Source organism: Homo sapiens, chromosome 2 (genome assembly GCF_000001405.40).
Source record: "Homo sapiens chromosome 2, GRCh38.p14 Primary Assembly".
Lineage (NCBI taxonomy): Eukaryota > Metazoa > Chordata > Mammalia > Primates > Hominidae > Homo > Homo sapiens.
The window spans coordinates 98,902,401-98,928,905 of NC_000002.12; the positions used below are offsets into that span (position 1 = coordinate 98,902,401).

At 48.7% G+C, this 26,505-nt stretch overlaps 1 protein-coding gene across 5 annotated transcripts in view, besides 3 other annotated features; it reads right to left on the reverse strand.

Moving 5' to 3' along the window:
* Positions 1-26,505, reverse strand: part of CRACDL (CRACD like) — a 142,380-nt gene that overhangs the window by 108,555 nt on the left and 7,320 nt on the right. For 2 of the 5 annotated variants that reach the window (XM_011511094.2, XM_011511093.2), the window contains exon 2: positions 10,348-10,585. The exons of the other annotated variants lie outside the window; for them this stretch is intronic. The gene's annotated coding sequence lies outside the window, so the exon portion shown is untranslated. The remainder of the gene's footprint in view (positions 1-10,347; positions 10,586-26,505) is intronic. 5 annotated transcript variants of the gene reach the window in all.
* Positions 7,260-7,759: an enhancer, noted in NCBI's record as "H3K4me1 hESC enhancer chr2:99526123-99526622 (GRCh37/hg19 assembly coordinates)". NCBI's record gives its function as "activates a minimal SCP1, AML or CMV promoter by ChIP-STARR-seq in naive H9 embryonic stem cells {active_cell/tissue: H9 hESC(naive)}" and the evidence as "EXISTENCE:reporter gene assay evidence [ECO:0000049][PMID:30033119]".
* Positions 10,174-10,757: an enhancer, noted in NCBI's record as "H3K4me1 hESC enhancer chr2:99529037-99529620 (GRCh37/hg19 assembly coordinates)". NCBI's record gives its function as "activates a minimal SCP1, AML or CMV promoter by ChIP-STARR-seq in naive H9 embryonic stem cells {active_cell/tissue: H9 hESC(naive)}" and the evidence as "EXISTENCE:reporter gene assay evidence [ECO:0000049][PMID:30033119]".
* Positions 14,726-15,020: a silencer, noted in NCBI's record as "tiled region #6151; HepG2 Repressive non-DNase unmatched - State 22:ReprW". NCBI's record gives its function as "represses a minimal TATA promoter and a strong SV40 promoter by Sharpr-MPRA in HepG2 cells {active_cell/tissue: HepG2}" and the evidence as "EXISTENCE:reporter gene assay evidence [ECO:0000049][PMID:27701403]".

The window sequence follows — 26,505 nt, forward strand, 5'->3', positions numbered from 1 at the left end:
AAGACCTTTCCCTTGAGGACTCCAGCCACGCCAGCAAATGATCTGATCAATATGAAGTGGGCTCCCCGAGTGTGTGGGGCGCCTGAGTGTGGGGGTGTCAGGGGCTCCTGAGCAGTGGGCACAGGCGTTCTGGTCTTCGGAGTAGATGTATCCCCTCTCCCAATTCATAAACCAGGCTTCTGGCTTCAAAGTAGTATAAAATGAGCGTAGGTGGGGATCGCTGGCTACTGCCGGGGCCTGACCATCCCTGGAGCTGGAGGGAAGGGTCTGTAGGACAGAGGGCCCTGTGCTAGCTAGGCCTCTCATCACCGGGCAAACTCTCAGAACTTGCCACGGCCCAGCCTCCCTGGCCTCTGGGACCCGGAGTCACCCCCGATCTCAGTATTCCAGGCTCAAGTCACCTCTTCATCCAGAAGACATCCTGGCCCACAGGTCTTCTCTCCCAAGGTAGGCAAAGAAGCCCCAGAAAACATGCCCCCACATTTACTACCTCTACTTAGGAAAACGAACCGACTGTCCTAGAGCCTACGACCAGCTTTTACCACTCCCTCCAGGAAGCTTCGCATCCTGAGATGAAAACACCCTTCCCCTTGGGGTGCACCCCCAGGGCCGCGCTAGCACACTCTCCCAACTGCACAGCAGCAGGCGGGGGACCCTCATCCCTATGACCCGAGTGCTCCTGCCCATTTGCTGTGGGGATGGGATCAGCCTCTGCTCCTTAGGAGACCTAACCTCAATGATGCAGAAGCCTGCGGAGAGCTCACTTCTCCGAGCCCCGGGGCTTCACATGAACTGGCAGATTCAGCACCTTGATCAAAACAGCCTGAAGCCACAAGGAGCTCCCTTTGGGCCTCAGCTTCCCTCACTGCTGCATAGACTCACGGCAAGGCTCACACCGAGTGCGTTCACTGCTCCATCCCTGGGGGCGCATGGACCATGATCGGGGGGCTGAGGGACCCGCTGTCTTCAATTTGCCAAAAGCCCACCTTCAAGACACATCGCTTGTAAAAATTCCCTGATTTCAAACCCATTTTGTTTCACCCCATGCCTAAAAATCTCACTAAGAAAAAAATAAAGGAGTCCTCTAACTGTTTCTCAGTGAGGCATAAGAGCGGACATCGTCTTCACCTCACTCCGTTAAATAATTCCACCTTGCGGAAGAAACCACTTCTCAGTGGGCATGCGGAGGAGACAGATGATTTAAACTACTGCAAACACTTAAATCAAGGAATAATTCTTTTTCCTAATGTGCCAATATACCAATGATGAAACCATTTGCATCTGATTAACCTCAAACTCTGAAAATGCACTAGATATTCTCACAAGCTTCCCCCTCTAATTGCTTTTGAAGTTAGTCTCAGTAGTCATTTTTAAGTCAGATACATCACTAAATTATGAAGAAAAAGATATTCTTTCCAGGATCATCCTTCAACATGCACACGCGTCCACGTGCATACACATGAGTGTGGTCCTGTGATTAAGAAATGCTGCTGCATTCAGAAGTCCTGCTCTCCCGGCCCTCAGCCTGGGTGACGCTCCTTTGTCTGATCTCTGGCATGTCCCCTAGCTGCTCGGTGCCCAGAAAGACATCTGCAAAACAGAGGGACACAGCCTCATGTAAGAGAGCCCTGAGCCACTTTCATCCCAGGTGTCATCGATACTTGGAGTTCCCGTCAGCCTCAAATGCTGTGAGGACAGGGTAAAATGATCCCTAGAGAGTTATACAAACAGAAGGAACACTGAGTGGTCAGACACTGAACACAAAACAGTGTGATCGAGGGGCCCACTTTCCACGCACCCTCCACTGAGCTATTGCAATCCCTTTCCTTACTTAGGTACACCCTCATTGTCCTTTCCTCAGGAACAGATCTCCAGGAAGCTCCCCACTGCAGTTACTACAGCATCACAGTTGCCATGTGACTCTCTGTCCCAGCCACACACCCCATCATTCATTCAGCACAGGAAGTCTCTCCATGGGAGCCCTCCAGCAGGGAACCGGCCTTGCCGTTTGAAGACCTGGATCCTTGTCCCTGATGAGCCACCACATATGGGAATGGCCTTGGGAAACCCACGTGATTGTTCTCAGCCTGCTTCTTCATCTGAGCAGATGAAGACGTCATTTTTTCTTATCCAGTTTGAGGATCCAATTAGATACTGCATATGAATGCCCAGCCTTCCAGGTGACAATGGACCCATGAGTGTTTATTGATTCAATTTTCATTCAAGAAGAACAAAGCCACCTTTAATTTATTTCGTTTCATTCAAGAAGAACAAAACCATGTGGGCCCCCTCACTGCTCAATTTGTTTTATTGTGTCTCTATGTTTATGAAGAATATTGGTTTGTAATTTCTTTTCCTTTTTAAAACAATCATGGTTATACCTGCTGATATAGTTTGGATATTTTGTCCCCTACCCAATCTCATGTTGAAATGCGACCCCCAATGTTGGAGATGGGGCCTGGTGGGAAGCACTCCGGTCGCGGGGGCGGATCCCTCCTGAATGCTTTGGTGTCTTCCCCATTGTAATGAGTTCATCCTAGATCTGGCTGTTTAAGAGAGGCTGGGCCCGGCCGGGCGCGGTGGCTCAAGCCTGTAATCCCAGCACTTTGGGAGGCTGAGGCGGGTGGATCACGAGGTCAGGAGATCGAGACCATCCTGGCTAACACAGTGAAACCCCGTCTCTACTAAAAATACAAAAATTTAGCCGGGCATAGTGGCGGGTGCCTGTAGTCCCAGCTACTCGGGAGGCTGAGGCAGGAGAATGGCGTGAACCCGGGAGGCGGAGCTTGCAGTGAGCCGAGATTGCACCACTGCACTCCAGCCTGGGTGACAGAGCCAGACTCTGTCTCAAAAAAAAAAAAAAAAAGAGAGGCTGGGCCCTCATCTCCCTCTCTCTTGCTGCCTCTCTTGCCATGCGACATGCTGACTCCCTCTGCCTTCCACCATGCTTGGAAGCTTCCTGAGGCCCTCACCAGAAGCAGATGCCAGCACCACATTCCCTGTAGTCTGCAGAACCATGAGTCAAATAAACCTCTTTGCTTTATAAATTACTAAGTCTCAGATATTCTTTTATAACAACTTTTTAAAACTCTTTGCTTTTTAAGTTACCCAGTCTCAGGTATTCTTTTATAACAACACAAATGGACTAACACACTGACCTCAAACTTATTTGGGAAGCGTTACTCCCTCCTGTGTAAAAGATTTAGTCTAAGACTGGTGTTACCTCATTTTTTTTTTTTTTTTTTTGAGACAGAGTCTCGTTCTGTCACCCAGGCTAGAGTGCAGTGGCACGATCTCTGCTCCATCTCCTGGATTCAAGTGATCCTCCTGCCTCATCCTCCCGAGTAGCTGGGATAACAGGCACATGCCACCATGCCTAGCTAATTTTTGTATTTTAGTAGAGACAGGGTTTCGCCATGTTGGCCAGGCTGGTCTCGAACTCCTGACCTCAGGTCATCTTCCCACTTCGGCCAACCAAAGTGCTGGGATTACAGGCGTGAGTCACCATGCCCGGCCTAGGTGTGATTTTTTTTTTAAGTTTACCCTGCTAGGGGTTCCCTGAAATTCTAGAATCTGTAGGCTGATATTTTTTCATCAAATTTGGAGAAATTTCCTCAAATATTTTTTGGCCCCAATCTCCCTCTCATCTCCTAAATTCCAATTGCACGTGTTGGGCTATTTGATATTATCTCTCATATGTCACTAAGGCTCTGCTAATTTCTTTTCAGTGTTTCGTCACTCTGTGACTCAGTTTGAATGGTTTTTATTGATTTGTCTTCAAGCTCACTGACATTTTCTTCTGCCAGTGTCCAAACTGCTCTTAGATCCATCCAGTGAATTCTTTTTATTTTTTCTTTTCCTTTTTTTTTTTTTTTTGTTTGAGACAGAGTTTCGCTCTGTCATCAGGCTGGAGTGCAGTGGCGCAATCTTGGCTCACTGCAACCTCCACCTCCCCGATTCAAGCAATTCTCCTGCCTCAGCCTCCTGAGTAGCTGGGACTACAGGCGCATGCCACTACGCCAGGCTAATTTTTGTATTTTTAGTACAGACGGGGTTTTGCCATGTTGATCAGGCTGGTCTCAAACTCCTGACCTCAGGTGATCCGCCTGCCTCGGCCTCCCAAAGTGCTGGGATTACAGGCGTGAGCCATTGCACCTGGCCATCCAACCAGTGAATTCCTCATTTGAGATAATATATATTCTAGCTTGGGAATTACCATTTGGTTGTTTCTTAAATTGCCACTTCTCTGCTGAAATTCCTATTTGTGCACTCACTATGTTTGTATGGGTTGGTATTTATCGACCTTTTCTCTTTGTTATTAGTCTCATTGTCCTGCCTGTCTAGTGATTTTTTTAATTGTATGCTGGATATTGCAGATAATAATTTGTTTGAAGAGTGCTGAGTTTTATTCTGGCAGAGAGTTAGTTGACTGGCATAGCATCTGGATCCTAACAAGGCTTGTTTTTAGGTTTTGTTATGGAGAGTTTAGCGTGGTCTTGGGGCTAGAGCAGTCTTATTCCTAATGTATGACGTTTCTGTGATCTCAGATTCAATGTTCAAGGTGCTCAGTAAGGTCTCCTCACTCTAGCAGATTGGAACTGTAAGTCTTGGCCAGGTGCAGTGGCTCACAACTGTAATCCCAGCACTTTAGGAGGCCGAGGTGGGTTGATCACCTGAGGTCAGGAGTTCAAGACCAGCCTGGCCAACATGGTGAAACCCTTTCCCTACTAAAAATACAAAAATTAGCTGGGCATGGTGGTGGGCACCTATAATCCCAGCTACTCAGGAGGCTGAGGCAGGAGAATCGCTTGAACCCAGGAGGCGGAGGTTGCGGTGAGCCAAGATCGCGCCATTGCACTGCAGCCTAGGCGACAACAGTGAAACTCCATCTCAGGAAACAAAACAAAACAAAACAAAACAAAAACTCTTAGTCTCCCAGCACAATGTGACTGTGTGACTTCCAGGTTGTGCTTAGCTCACCATCCTCCCCACAATGTCCTGGCCAGTAGTTGTTCTCTGCCGAGCCTCAAAGAGTTGTTCCCTGTGCAAATGCAGCTTAGCATTTGGCCAAGACTCAAGATCACTTTGAAGACTTCTGAAGTCCCTTCTCTGCTCAGAACCCTCCTCTCCACTACCATCCCCGCAAGTTCCAGCTGCCTGCACTCTGATCTCGGTTTCTTGTGCTCAGCTCTCTGGTGGCCTCTGCTTCCCTTGTACCTTGGTTTTGAAGGCACTCCCAGACAGAAAGCCAGAGTGAATGTGGGGCTTGACTCACATGCTTCCAGTTGGACCAAAGACCTGCACTGAGTGTTGTTCCATTCTCGAAAACAGTTCCTTCATGCATTCTGTCCAATATCACAATTGCTTGGGAAAGAAGAGTAAGTCTGATATTCATTATGCCATCATGTCTGGGATTGGAAGTCTGATTACATTTTAAAAGGTGACTCTGGTTGCTGCATAGAAGAAACTGCCAGGTGAACTACATACACTAAGACCAGATGAAAAAGGGTGATGAGGGAGTATTTCTTGAAGCAGAAAACCTAATGTTTCTGCACGTGTTAAACATCTCTGCAAATTTTGCAAGGCATCAGGAGTAAAACGTGTACCTTCAATAAACCCATGGGAATAGAAGGCCAGTTTTCATCTCCGACGTCAGGTAGAACATGCAGTTTTGAAGCTGGAATGGGAGGATCTCACCTCATGGTTTTTCTGGCCCAGCCCAGCCACTCCGTAGCAGGAGCTGCCAGTACCCTGGAGCTCCTTTCATGTTCAAAGCTGTAACCAGTAGACGGACTGGCTGTCTCAACTGGGAGGCAAGCCACAAGAACAGAAGAGCCTAAATGTGTGGCCTAGAGAGAGCTCCGAGGTCACCCTCAGGTAGGGCATCTCTTCCAGACAATTCCAAAATCTCAGCTGTGGGACAGGAATGGGTCCCACACCGCCTCTCTTGCACATGCCATTCCATGTCAACCCTCCAGCAAAAGTTATTTACCTGGCAAATGCCTGCCCTGTCCCTGCAGTGAGTAGTCTGGCAGGGGAGAGGCTAGCCATCCTTCCTGGCCACACAGCTGGATGGCTCCACAGTTTCTCCCATCCCACAGCCTGTGGATAGCCTGTCGACCCAACAGCTTGGAAGTGAACAGAAAGATTTTATCAGCCCAAACAAAAACCCAAAGCCAAACTCACTCTATTGCTGCAAATGCCTATCAGGCAGATAAACTCCATTAAGGTCTGTCCCCTCCCTTCCCTGGTACAAGCTGCCACTTGCCCTGGACAACAGACCAAGGCTCGGGTTTCCAAGGTGGCTTACAGTCCAATGACCTTCCCCTCTCTGGTGTTGCCTCCATCAGTGGTGCAACGACATTCAGAGTCTACCGAAGGCTGGGACCTACACTTGGGAAGTGGAGTGAGCCTCACAATTTCCACTAAAAGTCCATCTGTACAGAAATAAATTTCATTCATACCTCATCTGTTTTCTCTCAGCCTAGCCAGAGTCCCTATATTTATTTGTATCAGTAAATTTGCACAGCCAGAATAATCCTAAAGGTTCAGAGGTCTACACACGGAAAAAGCCCACTGCCCCAAACTTGTCTTGCCCAGCCCCGTGTTTAAAAGCTTCATGCAAACACTGAGAGTACAGGATGTATAAATGCGTCCTGAGTTTAAGCCTCACACAGTGAATCAGCATCTCAGCAGCTCTGCTTCCTCTGAGACTCTGGGGAGGTTTCTTCAGTGAAAATTCAGAAGAGATTGGCAGAAAGCTGTCAAGCGATTGCTATGTATGGTTTCTCTGCACATCAGGAGATTCATGAGCCCTAGATAGCAACAGCAGATTCTTAACTGTCCCTTATGATATTTGCATTTGATTCCCAGTGCTTCTCAAGGGGAACTTATTTGTTCACAAAATTGCTTTCTTTATTTTGGTTCAACTTGCTTCTGGTTTACACATAAAAACTGCGATGTCACTGCTGTAACTTATAAGAAGGGGTGAGCAGGTTCAGGAAAACCCTTATTACAAATCTGAGAAAGCAGTTATGATTACGAGATAAGGATGCAATCCCAGGGGAGGTTCTAAATGTTTCCATGTAATCTGGACCCAAGCAACCGTCGTCAAACCACTGTTCATGAAATCTGTGGGTGCAAACAAATTGAGCTGTCAGGCTGCAGGACGCGAGCAAACACTGGCCAGGCAAATGGCATTTCCTCCCTCCAGCACATTTCTGCTGCTGACCCGCCTGCTCTAAGGCCCACTGAAACCTGACACCCAGACCAGCTGGCCTCTCCAGGGAACGGGCCTGGCACCAAACGCTCCATCTGTTAGCACACCTCAAGCCACCTGGCCACTTTGCTCTTTTTCCCTGGTTCCCTTACAGGCAGGAGAATCTTGTTCCTCTGCCACCTGTAAACTCACAGAGCCTGTCTCGAGGTACAAAGCCCATAAGTGAGAGTGGCAGAGGGCCAGCAGAGTAGCTACGGAAGCCAACAACAAAAGGAATGGGTAGCGGGGCTTGGGCCGCTTTCAAAAAGGGGAAACTTAATTCTGAAGCAGGAAATGGCTGCATTTTGCCCCGATTCCCACCCCTCCGGATTAGTACATCATGAGTAGTCAGTAACGCCATCTCTCCCACATCGCACTTTCCCTATAACTTGGCACCACTTCCCACCTCGGAAGGATGGCTCTGTCTCCTCCTCCAGCTGCTCCTACCTGCAGGAAGCCGATTTCAGAGACCTCTTACCAAGGGGGCTGTGAGCTGGGATGCACCCTCAGGCAGGACCTCCCACTTCCCCATTGAGAAGAGGAGACTGTCTCACCTCTGAAAACTAAGAAGCTCCTTGAGGCCAGGTGTGGTGGCTCACACCTGTAATCCCAGCACTTTGGGAGGCCAAGGCGGGTGAATCACCTGAGGCCAGGAGTTCGAGACCAGCCTGACCAACGTGGTGAAACCCCGTCTCTACTAAAAATACAAAAAATTAGCTGGGCATGGTGGTGCATGCCTGTAATCCCAGCTACTTGGGAGGCTGAAGCAGGAGAATCACTTGAACCTGGGAGGTGGAGGTTGCAGTGAGCCAAGATCACGTCACTACACTCCAGCCTGGGCAACACAGCAAGACTCTGTCTCAAAATAAATAAATAAATAAATAAATAAATAAATAAATAAATAAATAATGCTCCTTGTTTCCCAGCCACTGTTTTGAGGATCCCCCAAAACCAGAGTCTGCTCTGCTCACAATGACAACCGTTTCTACAAAAGAAGGAGGAGCCTCAAAGCCGAGAGAGTGGGAGTTGGAGTGTTCCCTCCCTCCACACCCACCTGCCATCAGAGCTCAGGGTTGCAGTTCACCAGGCCTAGCTCCATTCACCTGCTGGTGGCCTCGGCCAGGGTTTGCCCTGACAGGGCCCATTTCCTTTTCTGCAAAGTGGAGCCAATAATGTGGTGCCTCCTCTTACGGGTGACAGGAGGATTAAATGAGGCGATGTAAATAAGGTGTTGAGCTCAAGGTTGCAGGGAATTACCACTCAGTAAAAGAGGGGCTGTTCTGGGCTTAGCTTCCAGTGAGTTTGCTGGGCACAGAGAATCAGAAAGATCTAAGACACCTTTATTTTTAAAGGGAGGCTGAGAAGTTGTCAGCAGCACATCCTGGTAGGACAGTGCCAAGCATCGGGGGAGCAGCAGGCACCTGGGTGAGGTGCCGAACTGAGAGGTGAGAGACCCCCACGCCCGTGCTCCTGCTCTCGTCACAGGCACACCCCTCTTCTGCTTTCTGGGCCTCAAGTATCTCGTCCTTAAAAGGGGCATATGAATTCTGGCCCTGCCTCCCTCATAGTGGACGGGGGCTCAAGCGAGACTGCTGGGTGCACACTGGGCCTTGCAAAGAACAGAGGCTACATCAGTGGGAGGGTTTCTCCAGATGTGTGAGACCCTTTGCACAATGCCTCCGGGGCTGGTACCGGCAGAGGGATGTGGACAGGGTCGGAGTCCACAGCACTTAGCAAGGGGCCTCCACATGCCACGGATTACATCAGGCTCCGCAGGGACAAGGCTGAGGGCAGCAAGGTCCCCGCTCTCAGACTCTCACAGTTGAGAATTTCCCACTTCGTGTGCCAGGCCCAGTTGTCATCCAACACGCGTTGTCCAAAGATCAAAGAGAAGGACCAGATCCCAGTCAGGGGTGCCAGTGCCAGGAAGGGAGGCGCCTGAAGGACAGTGTGCTCCCAAGCCCACCTGAAGGAGCTGGTGGGTGGCCCCTTATCAATGCTCTGCAGCCAGCCCACCCTGATTTTGTGAACCCGAATGCTGGTGACCAAGGACAGGTCAGGGCAGAAACCATCTGGCTTAGCCTCCAAGCTGGGCCACCCCGAGAACCTGAGGGTGTTTTGTTTTCCTCCCAGTCTGCGGTGCTCACAAAATTAAACCCACGGAAACCCCAAACGTACCAATCTCTGCTCCGTGTGTGTTTCGCATATGGCTACGGGAAACCCACAAAGGTAACATGATGTGCCCATACCACATACCACAGCCTCTAGAGATGTGTTTTTCTAGAACAATGCTGACACGCTTGTGATTAAATATTTTACTGTTCCATCTAGCTGACTCATTTGGTGGTGACACAAGTGCCTGACCCCTCCACACCCCTGGGAGGCACAAAACCCACCCTGCATTTTGCCCTAATGAGCAGAGAGTGACAAGTGCTGCTCCCCTGTTTTCTGGTGTGACAACCACTGGCGTCCTGGGCAGCATACCTGTGCCAGAGTTTAGAATGAGCAGGAAAGGCGCAAGGGCAAATAAAACATTTTGCAATATATTAAAGTACCTGTGCTAACAATTCTCTGCCTTTTAACAAAAAGGCAGTTCGCAAAGAGTGAAAGAACACCAGTCAGGAGGCGATGCATTGTCTGGTACTGGCTCTGCCTGCCTGGGTGTGCTGGGGGTAGGTGAAGGCACTGAGCCAGCCGTCTCTGCTAGACTGTGAGCAGTGAGCTCGGTGATGCTCACACCTGTCTGCCACTCGATCCCCAGGCATGACCTGGCCACACCCATGCAGGGTCCATGTTTGTCTCCGGCAGGCGGGGGTCACACCAGCTGCGGCTTTGCAAGGCCTGGTCCTTTGACCCTCTGCTCATCTATGATCGGGCTTGTGCTCAGCTCACAGCAGGCTTTCCCTGAATGCCCTGAGGTCTATGACAGCTCCTGAGAGCCGACCCCCACTGTGGTTGAGGGTGCTGACTCTCAGCCCCCGCCTGGCACAGCCTCCCCCTCCCCATTGCAGCCTTGCTGAAACGCAGCTGAGCTAATTCTGGGCTCCCTGCCACCCGCACAAGCCCACGCTGCACATGCTCTGACTCACGGCTGAGGCGTCCAGAAGCAGGGATGGGAAGGAAGGCTGCTGCCAGGCACCCACTTGGCATCAGTCAATGGCCAGGGGTCCGTCCTTGGGCCTGACGGTGGAATCCGGGGGTGGATCTGAGACCTCTATCCGCTTTCATCAAATCATACTGGCAGTAGCTAAGCCCACATTTTAAAGCCAGTGAATTTCTTGAGACATGCAGCCATATACTCATAGCACACAATCATGGAGTTAAAACCTGGAATTAAAAATTAAACCTGTTACTCTTTATCACTGAGACCTATTTCAGCATGTGGCAAATTCTTACACTACCGCCACATTTCCCAAACATAAAAACCATTTGATCAGAAAAGAAGGGAGATAATTTGCCTCCAGAAGTTCAATGCAATCTTATTTGAAAACCTTTTCCTGAAGACCTACTATGTGCTCTCCCTCTGAGTATGCCAGAACCTAAGGTGCCATCCCCACCCTTGAGAATCCTCAGTCTGTGCAGGAGGCAGACAGGCATGTCTGTAACCCACTTGTAAAGGAAGTGTGTGGAGTGCTGTCTAGAGGGAAGCCACATGAGAACGGTCACCTCTGTCGGGGGGTGGGAAGGGAAGAGAGCTGGCAAAGCTACTCAGGGTGGTCCGTGGGCAGTCAGCCAGCGGGGCAGGTCCCTGGGCAGAGAGGACACAGGTGTGAGGCCTGTGGTAGGGGAGTGCTTGGGGAACAGGGAGTACAAGACTGGAGCCTGTGGGGAGTGTGGGGAAGGGCTCAGACACAAGAAGCACTGTGGTCAGACTGGGAAGGACCCACGGGGCTGGCTGGGAGGAGATAGATTGGAGGGTGCAGGCAGAGGGCCAAGCCGATGGACTCACCCAGGAGTCCCTTAGTCACTCAGGACCACACCTCCCACCCAAAGGCAAGTCTGGGCATCTGAGGAGTCACGGAAAGCATGGTCTTCGGGAGCAGAAAGCCCTAGCAAATGTACATGGCTGTGCAAGTGACCTACACGCTCTGAGCCTCCCCAGTCGTTAGAATGAAGATTCAGGCAATCCTTTTCTTGCAGGGTTGTTTACAGGATGCAATCAGCTAAGCTATGTGAGAGCCCTGGCAAGGCACCTGGCCTGGGGCAGGTGATCCTGCAGCAACCCAGTAGGATGAGATGGGGAGAATATAAAGCCAGCTTCAGACCCAACTCCATGGTTTACGCTTTATGCGCAGCCCTAGGACCTGGGGAGGTCCTGAATGCATGGAAGCCTCGGCTGCCTCCCTCCCAGAATGGGCATTGTATGTGCCCTGTTGAAAGGCTAAGCAATCACCTCTGCAATGCAGGCTTTCAGCATCATCTGGCCAGTAAGAGGCTGGCTGCCTGCCCATGCCCCTCTCATGACTAGGAGCCAGGAAGCCGAGGCAGGAGCCAGGTAGGGGGAGGAGGCAGGAGCCCCAAGGACCCAGGTGACTGTGTTGGTGAAGCTCTTCACTTCAGAGGTAATTGTAATTGCAGACATGGGAAGGGGCCCTTGAGCAACTCGCAGGGTCCTGCTGGCCCAGCTCCCAGCCCCCCACAGCAAGGAGCACCACCTCCTCACAGGCCTGTTTCCTGGGCTGGACCCTACCCCCTCACTCCCTCCACCCTCCCCTCAAGGTTGGGGCCCAAGCCTGAGCCCACAGCATGAGGAGGAGCCCTGCAGTAGCTTCCAGCAGAGCCTGCAGCCCTCACCCAGACATCAGGTTACGGAAGTTGAGTCCTGTCCCCGCTGAGGTGGGGGGCTCTAAGATTACATGGCTGGATATGGGCCAGGACAGCTTACTGTTAGTTTCCATCCTCTTCAAGGGAGACTTTTTTAAAGACAGGAGCTTGCGCAGGGCACAGAGGAGCTCTGTCCCCTGCCCCCCACCAGCCTTCGCCTGCTTCTGGGGAGCCGGCTGGCGACCTCATGGAGCTTCACGCTGGCCCCACAACTGGGGCTCTCCTGCCAACAGACCCCTCCATCAGTGTCTCTGCTGAACGTGGGGACATGGACTGAGGCCTGAGGCTGGGCGGCTCCGGGCACAGGTCCACTAGCACTCCTCCAGAGGGAGTCCCTGGGCAGCCAGCCTCTCTTCCTCCTGTGCCCGGTTAGACAGCACCATCCCAGGACTCCAGGCCCCTGAGAGAGAAGAAGGGGAAGGCTGCTCCCAGAGCAGGGCCCAGCCCCAGGAGATGCTGTTTGCAGTTGGAGGGTGTCCAGTGGGCAAAGAGGTGCTGTCCAGAGTCCCCGGGTCTAGAAGACCCAGGGTCTTGGCACCAGCCTCTGTTCACAGTCACAGGTCCCTGCCAGTATGAGTGGTTTTGAGGGGGTTGGCAAAGGCTGCTCAAAGTAGAGAAATAATGAGGGGAGGAAGGTCGACCAGGACAGGACTGGGTCCAACTCATGCTTGGAGTGATAAGAGAAGGCAGAAAAGGACATCACGTGCCAGACCTGAGGAGACTCAGGCTCAGAGACAAGGGGGCACAGAGTGCTGGAGAGGTGCTGGCCACCTGCCCCTTTCTACACGGAACAGCACAGGCTAAGTCCTCCCTTTCAGCCCTGGAGGCAGTGCCAGGAGCTGACCGGAGCAGGTATCATAGCAGTTTCTTTTCTGAGTGTGTGGGAGGCACCTCCTGGAACCCTCAGAGATGAGTGGGGCAAGGCACAGGGCAGGGAGCAGGCCATGGGACCATAGGGACCAGGGATGCCCGGGGACTGGTGGAACATGACTTGCTGTGGAGCCCTGGAGGAGCTGCCTGGGTCTGTGCTAATCCAAGAGACAGGGAGACCTCATGAAAGTCACCTAGATCACAGAGGGACAGCCATCAGCTCTGCCAGGTGAAGGACGAGAGCCACAGAGTGATGGTAGGGGCTGCACTGGGCAGGCAAAGAGGGGACTGCTCTTCAGAGAGGGTGGGCTGCCTGCTGGGGGTGGGGGAAATAGCTGTGAGCCACACATAGGTGTAGGCAAGGGCATGAGTGACACGTGGAAGTTAGGCAACACCAACTTCGGACAAGACATCAAGCTTTCTCCAACTCTCCCACCGAGGCAAGGCACAAAGGCAATTACTAAGCACATCCGCTGACCACCACTAAACCTCCTGGCACCCAAATCAAAGCTCTGACCATGAGGACATGCTTTCTAGGCAGCTTGAGTGTTTCAAGGCATGGCCAAGCCTTGTGTTTGACGAATGACAGCCCAGGTGCCCACTGGGCTGGCCGGGCCATTGCCCTCAGGGTCACTGGGCCAGGCCTGAGGAACTGTCCCAAACTTACAGAGACAGACGGATGGCACAGATCCAAACTCCCAGGACCCTAGCCAATCTCTGGGCATGCTTACAAAAAGGGGAGACTTTCCTAATTATCAAGTGATTCATTGGATTAGAAAAACTGTACTATGCCCACACAATGTAATACTTCGTAGCAACAGAAAGGAAGAAACCACTGACACACACAACTACATGGATGAATCACAAAATAATCATGGGCTGGAAGAAGCCAAAAAGCGCACGATTCCATTTAAGCCAAATCCTAGGAAACAGTGTGAACTGAGTAATAGGGATAGAGAGTGGACCAGGGGTTGCCCTACAGGGGATCTGGGGAGGGATTATGGACGTGCATGAGGAATTTTGGGGAAGATGGGTACGTGCACTATCTTGATCATGGTGTTGGTTTCACAGGTATATACATATATCAAGATGTATGAAACTGTGCACTTTAAATGTGTGCAGATTATATGTCAATGATACCTCAATAAAGCTGTTTTTTTTAAAAAATGCTGATTATAAAAATATAGAAAGATATGAAATCTCCCATAATTCTATCACAGCTAACCAGAAATCTCATTTTTATATGTTTCCTTCCAGTCTTTTCCCTACTCCCACACATAAATATCATTTTTTTTAATGTAGGATACAACCTCTCTTTTTAAAAAGTTTTATTATCCTGAATTTTTTTTCTTCTTTTTAATTTTAAAAGTTCTATGCACCCTGGGAAGAGGAGGTGAAGACAGCAGCTCCCCAGAGAAGGGGTGAGAGGCCAGGAGAGGAGCGAGTCCCTGAGTGGGGGCATGGACACAGGGCAGAGCAGCTGCCTGTTGCCCTGAGCAAGAGCCTACCCGGGGTCAGCACCTGTCCTTCGGTATACTTCACCCAAACCATCTCCTTTGCTAAACTGAGCCTAAATGACAGTACTTTGCACCCAGTATCTGCTCAATCAGAATTTACTAAAGGGAATCTGAATGAAATGAAGCTGAGCCTGCCCTCCAACACATCCTGCACCTTCTGTCTCCTATCTTGGCACTGGCCCCTGCCTCTTCCCCATGGGCCTTCTTCTCCCTCCGGCTCGGCCCACTATCCTTCCTGCCTTCTTCATTTAGCCTTAGATCATGAAGTTCCCTCATTCCCTTGTGACTAAGCATCCTTTAGAAATGTTCCTAAGGGCCTCACTGCACTCCGGCAGACGAATGACTCATTCCCCATCATTGGATGTTCAAATTCCTTCCAAATCTGCACCTTTATATGTAACATTGTGATGAACATCCTTGCATAGGAATTTTGGACTGCAGATTTAATTGTTTCCTTGGGATAAATTCCTAGAAATGGAATCCCCAGGATAAAGGGAGGAATTCTTTTAAAGGGTTTGAGACATCCTGCCAAACTGCTTGGCAGAAAGCTTGCAGCTTCCTCTCCCAAGGCATATGAGAGTCCTTGCCAAACACTTTCACATGCATTGAGTACCATCGTTCACAAAAACAAACAAACAAAAGCAAAGCACACCACAAATTTGTCAATTTAATAGCAAAAAATAGTATCTTACTTTAATAGGCACCTACTTGATTAATGTAAGATTGACTTTCTCACACTTACTGACATTTATTTCTCCTTTTACGAGCAAATTCCTTTTTAAAAATGTGTATACATTTAAAGGGTACAAGCACAATTTTGTTACATGGATATATTGTGTAGTGAAGTCTGGGCTTTTAGTGTAACCATCACCCAAACATTGTACCCAGTAGGTAGTTGCTCATCTCTCACCCATTAATCCTTCCCAGTTGTCAATGTCTATCATTCCACGCTCTATGTCCATGTATACGCATTATTTCGCTCTCATTTATAAGTGAGAACATGGGGTATTTTGTCTTTCTAAGTTATTTCACTTAAGATAATGGCCTCCAGTTCCATTCATGTTGCTGGAAAAGATATGCTTTCATCCTTTTTATGGCTGAATAGTATTCCACTGTGTATATATATCACATTTTCTTTGTCCAATCATCCATTAATGGACACTTAGGTTGATTCCATATCTTTGCTATTGTGAACTGTGCTGTGATGAACATAAAAGTGCAGGTATCTTTTTAAAATAATGATTCCTTTTCCTTAGGGTAGATACCCAGCAGTAGGATTACTGAATTGGATGGTAGTTCTATTTTCAGTTCTTTGAGAAATCTCCACACTGTTTTCCATACAGCTTGTACTAATTTACTTTCCCACCAACAGTGTAGAAGTGGCTGGGTGCAGTGGCTCAGACCTGTAATCCTAGCACTTTGGGAGGCCAATGCGGGTGGATCGCTTGAGTTCAGGAGTTCGAGACCAGCCTGGCCAACATGACAAAACCCTGACTCTACTAAAAATACAAAAATTAGCCAGACATGGTGGTACATGTCTGTAATCCCGGCTTCTTGGGAGGCTGAGGCCCAGGCTGAGAATTGTTTGAACCTGGGAGGTGGATGTTGCAGTGAGACGAGATCACGCCATTGCACTCCAGCCTGGGCGACAGAGCAAGATGTTGTCTACCAAAAAAAAAAAAAAAAAAAAAAAAAAAGAGTTCCCTTTTCTCCTCATCCATGCCAACTGTTATTTTTTTGTCTTTTTATAATAGCCATCCTTTCTGCTATAAGATGATATCTCATTGTGCTTTTAATTTGCATTTCTCTAATGATTAGTGATGTTGAGCATTTTTTCATATGCTTGTTGATCATTCGTGTGTCTTCTTTTGAAAAAATGTCTATTCATGTCCTTTGCCCATGTTTTAATGGGATTTTGTGTGGGTTTGTTGAGTTGTTAAGTTCCTGGTAAATTCTGGATATTAGTCCCCTATTGGATACATAGTTTGTAAATATTTTCTTCCATTCTGCAGGTTGTCTGTTCTCTCTGTTGATTGCTTCTTTTGCTGTGCAGAAGCTTTTTCATTTAAGTCTCATTTGTCTATTTTTGTTTTTGTTGGATGTACTTTTGAGGTCTTAGACATGAATTCTTTGCCTAGATCAATGATCAGAAGAGTTTCCCCTAGGTTTTCTTCTAGTGTTTTTACAGTTTCAGGTCTTACATTTGAGTCTTTAATCCATTTTGAGTTGATTTTGTATATGGTGATAGATAGGGGTTCCAGTTTCATTCTTCTCCATATGGCAATCCAATTTTCTCAGCACCATTTATTGAAAGGGGTGTCCATTTTTATACCAGTGCCATGCTGTTTTGGTTACTTTAGCCTTTTAGTATAGTTTGAACTCAGGTAATGTGATGTCTCTGGCTTTGTTCTTTTTGCTTAAGACTGCCTTGGCTCTTCGGATTCTTTTTAGGTTCCTTATTAATTTCAGGACAATTTTTTCCTTTTGCAAACTAATTCATATCTCTCACCCACTATCTCATTAAGAAGTTCATTCACAATGAGTTGTTCATATTCATTATTAAAGTTGTTTATATAATACATTAGTCATTTATGTTGCAGACTTTTTTTCTGTCTCTGGTATCATGTGTAGAAAGATGTTTTTCATCCCTTAACTACTTACTTACCTAAATTATTTTTAGCACTTCAATGATTTCATTTTTATATTTAAATTTTAATCCACATGGAATATATTTGGGGGTTTGATATGAGCAAGGGGCTTGATGGTTTCCCAAGTGGTTAAATAGTAACCAGATATATTAACTTTTATATTCCAGTCTTTCTAGTCTGTTCCATGGGCATGTTGTCTATTTCCATCACAATACCAAACTGTTTAAATTATTATGAATTTACAAATTTTTCTGAAACAGGGTCTCACTCTGTTGCCCAGGCTGGAGTGCAGTGGTGTGATCACAGCTCACTGCAGCCTTGAAGTCCTGGCCTTAAGCAATCTTCCCACATCAGCCTTCTGAGTAGTTGGGACTGCAGGTATGCACCACCACATCTGGCTAATTTTTAAAAGGTTTTGTAGAGATGGGGTCTCTCTCTGTTGCTCAGGTTCGTCTTGAACTCCTGGCCTCAAGCGATCCTCCTGCCTCAGCCTCCCAAATTGTTGGGACTACAGGTGTGAGCCACTGTGCCTGGCCTACAATACGTTTTTTAATATGTTTTAATATCTGGTAAGTTATCCACCCAGATTCTGGCTAGGGGTTGCATTAAATCCATAAGTTAATTTGGAAACAACCGAAATATGTAAGATATTGATCCCCCACTGCTGGAACACGCTGAACATCTCTACCTGTACAATGGCTCTTTTGTGTCCCTGGTACAATTTCATTATCCGGATTGTACACACTTCCCATGAGTATGGTTCCTGGGTATTCCATCTTTGATTCTATCATGAGTAGAACTGCCCACCTGTCACATCTACTGACCTTCTTGCAGGCAGAGGACTACACTGTGCATACTTCGCATGTGTAGGCACTGTCTCTGCAGCTTTCACAAATGGGGCACAGCTGGTTCCAAAGCCTTCACTGAGCGGTCATCCCACAGGCACCCAGGGCTGTCACCACCAAGGGGTGCCAGCACTTTCCTGCGGGACACAGGACCTCCCCAGTCTGGCTGCAGCTTACTTTGAAACTCCTCTGTCCCCTCCAGCCCTCCAGCACCCGTCCAGTCCCATCAGACACAGCACACTTATGCACACCGGACCCCTCTCCCAGCTGGAAAAGCCTCCCCATACTTCCCTGCCTGTGGAAACGGGTCTCACTCCTCTAGATCCACTCCAACGCTACCTCCCCAACCCAAATTCATGAATCCCCACTGGAAGTCCATCTTGCACAGTAGCACTTATTTTAATCTACTTTGTGATAAGAATCACCCACGTGTCTGTGTCCCCTGTCAAGTGTGAAAGCACACCCCACCATAAGTCATCCTGCCTCATATCCAGTGCTGTGCCCACAGCTGCAGCAAATGCGTGTTGACAAACTGGATCAAAGAAACCTCAGGAGTGGAGAACCTGTTCCTCCCTGCTCACTCCCTGAGCCAAAAAGAAGTACTCCAGGAAGACATGAGGCTGAGGACAAAGAAGCATTTATGCTTCTGCAGAGTGGATGAGGGTGCATGCCAGCCCTGCTCAGCCTGCACTCCCAGAACCTTCTCAACAAGGTCCCAGAACCTTTCCAACAAGAGAGGAGCCGATCCTCTCTCCCTTGGGAAGGTGGGAGCCCCGTCTTGGAAATCAAGTCTGCCTGACTATGGCCCAGACGTGCTCAGGCAAAGGCTAAGTTCTCAGCCCCAGTCACAGAGCAGATTCACCTGCAAAGCTTGTTAAGCCCCAGAAGGTCCCACCCAGCCCTCCTGAGTCAGTCTGGCAGGGCGCGGCAGGGCAGCCACAAGTGGTGCCGATACTGGGCCAATCTGCGTCCCAGGTGAGCGCACCTCCATCTCCCTGGCCTTCCTTGAATAATACAATGCAGACAGGCAAAGGAGGAAACCAACACTGGGCAGTGCCCAGAGGCAGGCCTTGGGCTCGGAAGGCTCTTGACATGTATTATGGTGTTCCCTCAGTGAACGTGGGTGAATTCTTGCCCCCATTTACAGATAAAGATACACAGTCAAAAATGTAAGTCTCATCCCCGAGTGACCAGGCTGGGCCTAGGACCAACCCCACTCCCCTACATTTGAGAAATCCATCCTTTCCTAGCTTAGCTAAAACTCCAAAGTTCCTGAAATTCCCACATATCCATCTCTTGGTAATCCCTAAGGCTGAGGCCCCTGAGCACTTGATCCTGAGACGTGCTCAGAAGCCAGGGCTGCTTGACTCACAGAACAGCCTCTGTCTGAGGTGGGGTCTCTCTGTGCTCCTGCAGCTCCTCCTGCACCCGTGCACAGCTACGCCAAGCCACCGGCCAGCCCCTCCTGTAAGGAGTCATTCCTGCCTCTGTGACTCTGCCCCAGGTCATGGAGACCCTGAGTCCCACTCCCACCCAGGGCAACATTATTACTTTCTCGGACCCCATGCACACTCACCCTCCTATGCCCCTTGCTCCACTTAAAAAAACAATTACAAAAGCATATTTTCCGATTGTGTCAGTACAAAGGTGAATATATTAATAGTATATATTAAAACATTTTATTTGACCTAAAGTTCGTGTTTTTCTTCTTTTTTGATTTCTTTCTTTTCTTTTCTTTTTGAAGAAGGCATCACAGCTCAGTGTTTATCTTCCAACTAAAGAAATTAAAATAGCCGGGCACGGTGGCTCACGCCTGTGATCCCAGCACTTTGGGAGGCTGAGGCAGGTGGATCATGAGGTCAAGAGTTCGAGACCAGCCTGACCAACATGGTGAAGCCCCGTCTCTACTAAAATACAAAATACACCCATGCACCGGGCATGGTGGTGCACGCCTGTAGTCCCAGCTACTCAGGAGGCTGAGGCAGGGGAATCGCTTGAACCCAGGAGGCAGAGGTTGCAGTGATCCGAGATCCCGCTACTGCACCCCAACCTGGCAACAGAGCAAGACTCCGTCTCAAAAAAAAAAAAAAAAAGAAAAAGAAAAAAGAAAGAAAAGAAATTAAAACACTTTCACAAGCCTCTCAAACTACAATGGGCTCTTGGCACTGTGCCCCCTGTGCCCAGTGGGCCAGCTGGCCTGGACCTGCCATGAGCAGCGCAGGATGCCCAGAATACTCCCCAGGGAAGACCAGCTCAAGCACAAGCTGCCTATGATGCCATGCAGCTCCAATTAGCTTGACACCTAGCTCTCCCTCACAGGGGAGCCTAGGCCAAGGTCCCCTGCAAAACAGGGCCACGGAGGGAAGGACATGCCTGCAAGGGTCCGAGAGCTTCTTGTGAGGGGCCAGGGAGGATAGAGGGGCCTGGGATGTCTCATGATCCCTGAGCAGACAAAACAACTTGTATATTTCTAATGCTGAAAGCTCTACCAGGCTAGCCGATGCTTAGGGTTACTTTTAATGCCTGGAAGCTAAAAAGAAATGAAATATAGAATTCAATAAAACTGAGCAGCAATTCACTAAGAGAGTTTAGTTATCTGAGCCTACTACATCTTTTAAATTTATAGGCCAGGAGCGGTGGCTTATGCCTGTAATCCTAGCACTTTGGGAGGCCGAGGTGGGCAGATTGCCTGAGCTCAGCAGTTCGAGACCAGCCTGGGCAACACAGTGAAATCTCGTCTCTACTAAAATACAAAAAAATTAGCCAGGTGTGGCAGTGTGCGCCTGTAGTCCCAGCTACTTGGGAGGCTGAGGCAGGAGAATCACTTGAACCCAGGAGGCGAAAGTTGCAGTGAGCCGAGATCATGACACTGCACTCCAGCCTGGGTGACAGAGTGAGACACTGTCTCAAAAAAAAAAAAAAAAGAAAAAGAAAATTGTGATCATGTTTGGTTACCTCTTTTAGGCTATATTCTGCTAATTCATATTATTTTTAAAAATTCATGGGGAAAATGGTACTTTGTCTTGTAGCTGGAGTGAAAGCCTCATCAATTGCAGAAGCGCTGTGGTCCCAGGACACCCCCTAATGGAACCTACTCAAATTGCAAGCAAAGTACCCAGGAAGAAAAAGCAAATTGCAAAAGGAGAGCCTGTCATACCCACTTCTTTGAGAGGCTACAAATATTAATTATCCAAACACAGATCCTTATTTCTTTATATGTGAATCCCTGATGTACATGCACTATCTAGAAATGAAATCAATACTAGGTCACATATGTATACAGGCCATTATTTCTCAATATGTGTCAGATGTTGAGGTGATTAATAAAATATGACACCTAGACAAGTCTCAAAATTCACAGTGTCTGTCTTTTTGCTGATATGCATTTTTCCTACTGATGAATTGTGAAAACATAGTTACTGTCATATGAAAGGTTTCTCAAATTGTTCAATATTGCAAAGGGAACTTCATACTCAGAAAAACTGGGAACTCTGGCTTTAGGGCAGAATTTCCAGCCTTTACAAAAGCAAACACCATGGCAGGCCATCCTGGATATTGATCCTTGGAGGGAATTTGATGGGAATTCCACTTTAGTTGACAGTGAAGAGCTTAAGCCACAAGTTTGTACAAAAGACCATGTGTCCATCAGAAGAGCAAAGAACTGTTGTAGTATTAACATGCTATTACAACAGAAGTGTTTATTTAGGAATTGGGGAGAAACAAGAACAGATGATGTTTGGGAAGTCTCTGCTCCTTCAGTTAATTATGCTGGCACATGGCAAGCAGTTCACTCAGGTTCACCCCAGGAGCCAGAAGACTCAGATGCAGCCACTCTGGTACCACGTGACCACTGACCAAGTGCAAGTCAGGATCCTCCTGGCAGACCCTGGGCTGGAGCTGCCAGCTCGGGATCCCAGCCCACCCTGTCAGGGGCTTCAGCGACCACCTCCCTCTCTGCCCCACCTTGGTCTCCTGGGCTGGGGACAAGCAAGCCACTTTCACCTCCCTGAACTTCAGTTTCTTCACCTCAAAACAAAGATAATCATTTCTGCTTTTAATTAGTGGGGTAATACATGAGGCTATAATATATCCCTTAAGTACCTAACAGTGCATGGAATACAGCTCATGCTCAGCCAAACTCAGAGACATTCCCATCTCCCTCTGCTCAGCTTTTATTCTCACAGACAGGAGCCAGTTGACCTTTACTCCTTCAGAAGGTGAAGAAGGACTTAACAGCCAGGGCTAATTATGTGCTCACGCTGGGCCCAGCAAGGTATGCCCCACAAAACATGCCTCCCCTAAGGGGCCCCCCCAGGGCATGGCACCCCCAGGCATGGCCCACCTCCTTCCTCCTACTCCTCCACCTCCCATGACCTAGGGGCCCTGTCCAGCACCTCCACCCAGCAGGTCTTATTCCATTTTAACCAGGAATACCTTAGCCCCCCAAAAAGGGGGTGCTGAATGAGGTCTCATTATAATAAAAATGTTGTTTCCAACTTTCTTGGACATCAGTTACAACATATCTGCCATTTCCACACAAATGCTTGCCTTTCCTTCTCCCTACAGCCCTAGGAGGCAGGTGCCACAACCTCGCAGAGTGCAGAGGAGGAAGGTCACCCCAAGGCTGCACCTGAGGCCACCTAAATAGCACGGGGCCCCACCAGGGTGCGGTCCAGGACGACCCAGCTCTCAGCCTGTCCCTTTCCTTCCCCTTCTCTCCTGTGGAAGCTGCTGCCAGTAGGGGCTGGGGAGAGGCAAGAGGGAAGGAGGAGGGAAGGAAGGGGCTCTTGGCTGGACTCCAGCCAGGGTCCAGTCCTAGGTGGGACTTCAAGGAGGAGGAAGGAGCTGACCAGGGAATGAAGGGCCCCTCCCTTGCCTAGGCTCAGCCCCAGGCCCTGTGCACACTTGGGGGGAGGAACTTGCCCAAGAGTGTTCACCTGCATTAAGTGAAACCCTGGGTGGGTTACCAGGACACTTCCTGACACTGTTTCCAAGTTCTCGGCTTGAGACAGGTTAAAAACAAGGTGACAAGGAAAGGACCCTGGGTTCAAATCCCTGCATAACTTGTCTGTGCCTCAGTTTGCTCTTCTGTAAAGTGGGGATAAAAACAGTGAGAGGTGAAGCAATCATGGCAGCCCCTGTGTGTCAGCTGAATAGCCACAACAGTACTGAAACCGACAACCACACAGCACGCACAGGCAGAGGGGCAAAGGCATCAGGGTTCACCCAGAGGAACAAACGCTGCATACACGGGGAGTGCGCCTCGTGAGGGAAGCGGGATAAAGGTGGGCTCACAGCTCTCACTCACCAGCTATGCAATCCTGCCAAAGTGACTTCACTTTGCTAAGCCTGGGTCTTCTTACTTATAAAATACACAGGGTGACTACAAGGATTAAATAAGATGAAAAAGGTGAAGTTACCCAAAAGGTGGGGAGCAATGCTCGACAGGTGGAATACAGCATCAAATCTCTGAGCTGGAATGGACTTCTCTTCTAAACACACACATGCGCGCGCACACACATGCATACACACACACACACTTTATTAATTATTTTAAATCACAATATGGGGTGGGCAGGAGGGAGAGGTTATGCATTAGGCAGCCTGGATTATCCAGTATTTATATGCTACAAAAAATAACTGTATTTTTTTACAATTTTTAAGATCTCATTTTATATGATTAGAAGAATTGAAAGAAAAACCGCTGTAGCTGGTAAAATAATTATTACAATTTACTTCATAATGCACAATCAACACTTACCCCTCAAAATTGAAGAAAACCAGCTGTTACATATAAATCATATCCTATTTTTAATTCACAAAGGGAAGGTGCCATAGAAACCTAAGGTGACTCATTTGGTACATGTGAAATCAGTATGATTTTCTCTTTTTAAAGAAAATATGGGTTCCCCAGACAGGCCTAATTCCTGGATGGGCTAGAAGCATAAGCCACTGTACCCTCCCAGGATTAGAATGGGGAAGGCTGTCCACTCCACCTCAACTGAGAGGGGGCTGGGCGCCTTCTTTCTATCCCCTCCCACCATCCTCTTGGGAGCTTGCAGGGTGGGGAGCATCAGGCCATTTTGAACAGTCCATCTCTGAAGGGGTGACATTTACTGCTGGCTCCCAAGAGCGTGCACCATGAAGCAAGCAGCTGCCCCCATGGTCTCCAACCCTCACAGGCCCACAGCTGCACTTGGGGTTGCTAAAGACAATGTGTCTCCTGGAACCCTTCCTCAGCAATGTTCTCGCTGAACACCGAAAATACAATGATCCACTCAGAGGGGCAGCTTGGAACTCTACAGACACCTGAATTCACAGTAAGTATGCACAAAGGCCTGTTTGAAGAGGCAAAGAGAAATGTTGTTCATAAACCGAATGCGAATCAATTATGACTCATGAAAAAACATTGGCTATTAACTTAGCAGTGGGTTAATTCCTGCCTCCTTCCCACGCCTGCAGCGAAGGGTTGCTCGGTATTGACTCAACACGGCCAGGAAAGGGGCAGAGAGAGCGAAGATTCTCCAATGTCCAGATAGACTCACCAGACAGCCCCTCGCAACCCACCCACCCTCTCAGCTAGGGCGGGTCTCCAGGGATTCGTTTCTAAGTACTTGGCTTGTATGCAAGGTAAATCTGCAGGAACTATTTGTGTGTGGCTTCCCCTCATTTCTCCACCTGCTCTGAAAGTCAGGCTGGGAAGTGTCCAATCTGACTTCCAGGAGACAGCAGGGAGGGAGGCTTCAGGGCTCACGTCAAGAGGCCCCACTATGGACGTATCTGGTTTCCCCTGTGGACGGAGGTGGAGGTCACAGAGCTTCCTCCACGGCTCCACTAATGCAGAGCAGCAGGTGGGACCCTCCCTGGTGCGGGTGGACGGTGGGAGGTGTGTGGCCTGGAGCCACCAATGACTCCCTGGCCACGCTGGAGGCAGCAGTTACCGGCGGGCCAGCTCTGCAGCGTCACTCTGCGGTGGTTCCTGAGCATGCGGCCAAGGCCCAAGCTTGCAACAATTCTGTGGGTCCTGAATTCCCTGCACTAAATCCTCTTCTGCCTCAGCGAATGAGAGTGAATTCTGAGTAACACAGATGCTGCCAACCAAGATTCAGGAAATCTTGGTAAAGACTCATCTCTTGGGGAAAAAAAAAAAAAAAACTTGGTGTGAAAAAATTATTTCAGGCAGGACATATCAAAGAAGGAGTCTGGTATATACACAGGAAATCTACTTAGGAGACGGTACGCAAAGGCACTGATCAGACAAAAGCGCAAAAAATACAAAAACTCATGATGCACAAAACATCACAATTTTAAATGACAAATGGACAAGGATGTCTATTGTCATGTTAACTAACTGGCAAATGGTTGAAAATCACTTAATTAAACATCCATCCCAGAGAAGGCTCGTGGACTGGAACCTATCCCTACAATGGAATTTCTTGCAGCCCTGAAAATGGATGCAAACGAAGAATATCTAATAATCTAGTAGTGTGGAAAAGAGGCTCAACTTGTACCATTCATTTTGAAAAGGTAGCTCATGGCCAGGTGCAGTGGCTCATGCCTGTAATCCCAGCACTTTGAGAGGCTGAGGCAGGTGGATCACTTGAGGTCAGGAGTTCAAGACCAGCCTGGCCAACACGGTGAAACCCTGTCTCTGCTAAAAATACCAAAAAAAATTAGCCAGTCATGGTGGTGCGTGCCTGTAATCCCAGCTACTCGAGAGGCTGACACAGAAGAATCTCTTGAACCCAGGAGGTGGAGGTTGCAGTGATCAGAAATGGCGCCACTGCATTCCAGCCTGGGAGACAAAGCAAGACTCTCAAAAAAATAAATAAATAAATAAAAATAAAAAAAAATAAGACAGCTCACAAAACAATACAGACATTACCTCTTTGGGGTAAATATGTATGTTAGCGCATATACGTATGTATGTATAGTCAGTATAGCACAGACAGAAGTTCGGAAGGCTCTGCCCCAAATGTTGTAAGAGATCCGCTCCTGTTCCGCCCCCAGGCTTGATGGTACAGACAGTTACTGCAGCACCCAGCCTCAAGCCACGTAACACTGTGGCCAAAGAGCAGCCTGACTGAGGTGAGGGAAATCTCTAGTCTGTTCAGAGCCCCAGACAGCTGACCAGACTTCTTCGTGCTAATTGCTGGGCCCTCCCTGCTGGCTGGCCTGGCCATGTCTGGTCTATAGGGCTTCCTCCCCTACCGAGGGTCCAGCTACTCGAGAGGCTGACGCAGGCCCACAAAATTCATTCAGTCATTTCTGTTCTAGAATGTGGTACCAGAGAAGCCCCTCGCACCAGCACACCTCAACTCAAAGACCTGTTTTGGCTCACAAAGGCTGTGAAGAAAACAAGATAACACTGGCCAAGCCTCACAAAGCAAGTGACTCAAACCTTCAAAATGCTTGTATTTGTCTATAAAAATGCCATTTTCAACCAGAGAGCATACTGGAAGCACTAACACATGATAATTTCAGAATGTGATTTCCAATGGAGCTTGTAGCTGACACCCAGCAACCATCCAAAACTACATGGA